The sequence below is a fragment of the Homo sapiens genome, chromosome 7 (assembly GCF_000001405.40).
Source record: "Homo sapiens chromosome 7, GRCh38.p14 Primary Assembly".
Classification (NCBI taxonomy): domain Eukaryota; kingdom Metazoa; phylum Chordata; class Mammalia; order Primates; family Hominidae; genus Homo; species Homo sapiens.
In genome coordinates, this window is record NC_000007.14 from 84,714,671 (window position 1) to 84,716,903 (window position 2,233).

Consider the following 2,233-nt stretch of genomic DNA (forward strand, 5'->3'; position numbering starts at 1 on the left):
TGTTGATTTATAAAAAAGAGCTTAGCCTTCAATCCTACCATGAAGTATTTTATGTCTTTAGAGACTTGAAAGCCCAGCAATTTATTTTTCTCTGTCTCTTATGTGCTACTGCAAGCCTGGAATTTGACCCATAACTTCAACTAAAGACCCCATTCACCTATCACTTTTCAAAATGTTTAACCAAACACTCTTAACTAGTCAAAAGTCAGCGATAGGAGAGCCTCCTACTGTGCATCTTCAGTGTGGCGTGGCTCACTGACAGCTGGAGAGACGGCTCTTGCTAAGCATATTTGATGTGCCCTGGTTTATGTCTCCTCTGTTTTACTGGAAAAGCCTTCAACAGGTCACTGGCTGGGCCTTCACAGCTGAGCACTAAAGATGAGAAGTGTAAATGATGATTAAGTGTGGGCACGACTCTCAGATTTCCAGAGTCCCAGCCTCACAGGTGTTCACATTGCAGCTGGAACTAAGGTCTCATTTTATCAGAAGTTGAGTATCTGCTTTAATTGTGGAAAGTATAAGGTATTGACTAAAAGGCAGTGGTTTTGCTGATCGATGCTGTTGTAGAGAAAGCTGATAAGTTTAACAAAATGTTTTAGAGAAAAATCTTCTGGAGCCAGTGAAGTATAAAGGAAAATAATGGCATACAGTCTGAGACAAATGAATTAACACTAATATATCGATAGTACATTGAGCAGTATAAAGAATTACACCAAGATGATGAAGAATATGAATGCCTTGTTAGGTGATTTAGACAACTGAGGGTATTTCACTTGTAATGAACTTGTGATGGCTATTTTCAAATATTTAGAAGGGCTGTCTACAGAAGAGTGATATAATTGTGTGAGTGTGTGTGTGGCGGGTGGGGGGGGGTTGCCTGATTCCAGAGGGCAGAATATGGGCTAGAAAATGAAGATAATATGGCTTCAGATTCAGTTCAAAATAAGAAAGAACTTCCTAGCCACTTAGACCATACACAAATGGAAGTTGGAGGTTATAAATCTCCATTATTGAAGTGTAAAAGTGAAAGTTGTGACTATTTTGTATGGTGGTTGGAGTGGCAATTCCTACATTGGATATAATTATGGATTAAATGAAATATGTGATACTTTGATCCTAATATTTAACAATTCTAATAGTAAATGAGATTTGAGTACACAGAGGAAATGTATTTTAGGCCAAATCCTAGGGTCTTTAGTAAATAAGAAAGAGTATAGTTTTGGGAGTTACCAGGAGTTAAATCCTAGTATCTATATATTGGTCACTTGAGAAAATCATTTAAATGCTATTATAGCTTTCTCATATCTAAGTGAAAAATGATATCAAATTGTAATAGTGAGGATTAAATTACTGGAAAGTTTATTACATTACAAGGACAGTGCCTAGCATAAAATAAACATTTAATGAAAGCTACCTAGCAGTACTACTTTCATCTAATATGTTTCAATATGTCATATGAATGTCAGTGTACCACTACACATGACATTTTACTCATGTAGCTGGTGCATGTGTGTGTGTGTGTGTGTGTGTGTGTGTGTGTGTGTGAGCTGGATCACCTCCCTTTCTCTTTCCTCCACCATTAAATGCAAGCTCTGGTTATGCTACACTGGCATCATGGTAACAGCCTAATCTCCCACTCCCAACTTGGTTTGAACTTTTCTCTCAAATTACATATTGGGTTCAATAATGCAATGCTCTTTTCAAATCTCCCTAGTTGATTCATCCTTTGAATATGAAAAATCACTAAACATATACTAAATCATTATATTAGTTTGAAGATTAAACCCAATTATTTAATAACAGAATTATGGATTTTTCTGGTATTTGCCCTTAACAATAGAACCTCTACTTTTGTTGCAACATTAGCTGGTTTTTTCCATTCCACTAAATAGGCATGTTTGCCTCTTCTCCATTAATCCTCTGCTTGATGCCCTGAAGTTCTTACCTACACCATTCAGCTACTATGAGAACTGCCTTCTTTATTCACTCAGCCTAACCCTCTAACTCTAATACTTTCTGCAGAACACGTTTACCAAGACATCTTTCCAGATAAACACCAACTGCAGACCACCCTGCTCATAAGTTGATGCATATCTTGTTTTACTGAATTTATGTCTGCTGCTTGAGTATCTGCATAGTTTTCCCCAGAAACTTTTAACGTATACTCTATTTTCTCTATAATTCTTACTATTGGGTAATGCATGCAATAAACACTATACACATAGCTGAGACT

General features: G+C 36.7%; 2 annotated features.

Annotated features, from left to right (window-relative positions):
- Positions 205 to 387: a silencer, noted in NCBI's record as "fragment chr7:84344191-84344373 (GRCh37/hg19 assembly coordinates)". NCBI's record gives its function as "represses an EF-1alpha promoter that drives an FKBP-Casp9 reporter gene in an ReSE screen in HepG2 liver carcinoma cells {active_cell/tissue: HepG2}" and the evidence as "EXISTENCE:reporter gene assay evidence [ECO:0000049][PMID:32094911]".
- Positions 1,701 to 1,870: an enhancer, noted in NCBI's record as "experimental_100536 CRE fragment used in MPRA reporter constructs". NCBI's record gives its function as "activates a minimal promoter by MPRAs in K562 erythroleukemia cells, with activity observed for the introgressed 7:84345772 variant allele {active_cell/tissue: K562}" and the evidence as "EXISTENCE:reporter gene assay evidence [ECO:0000049][PMID:34662402]".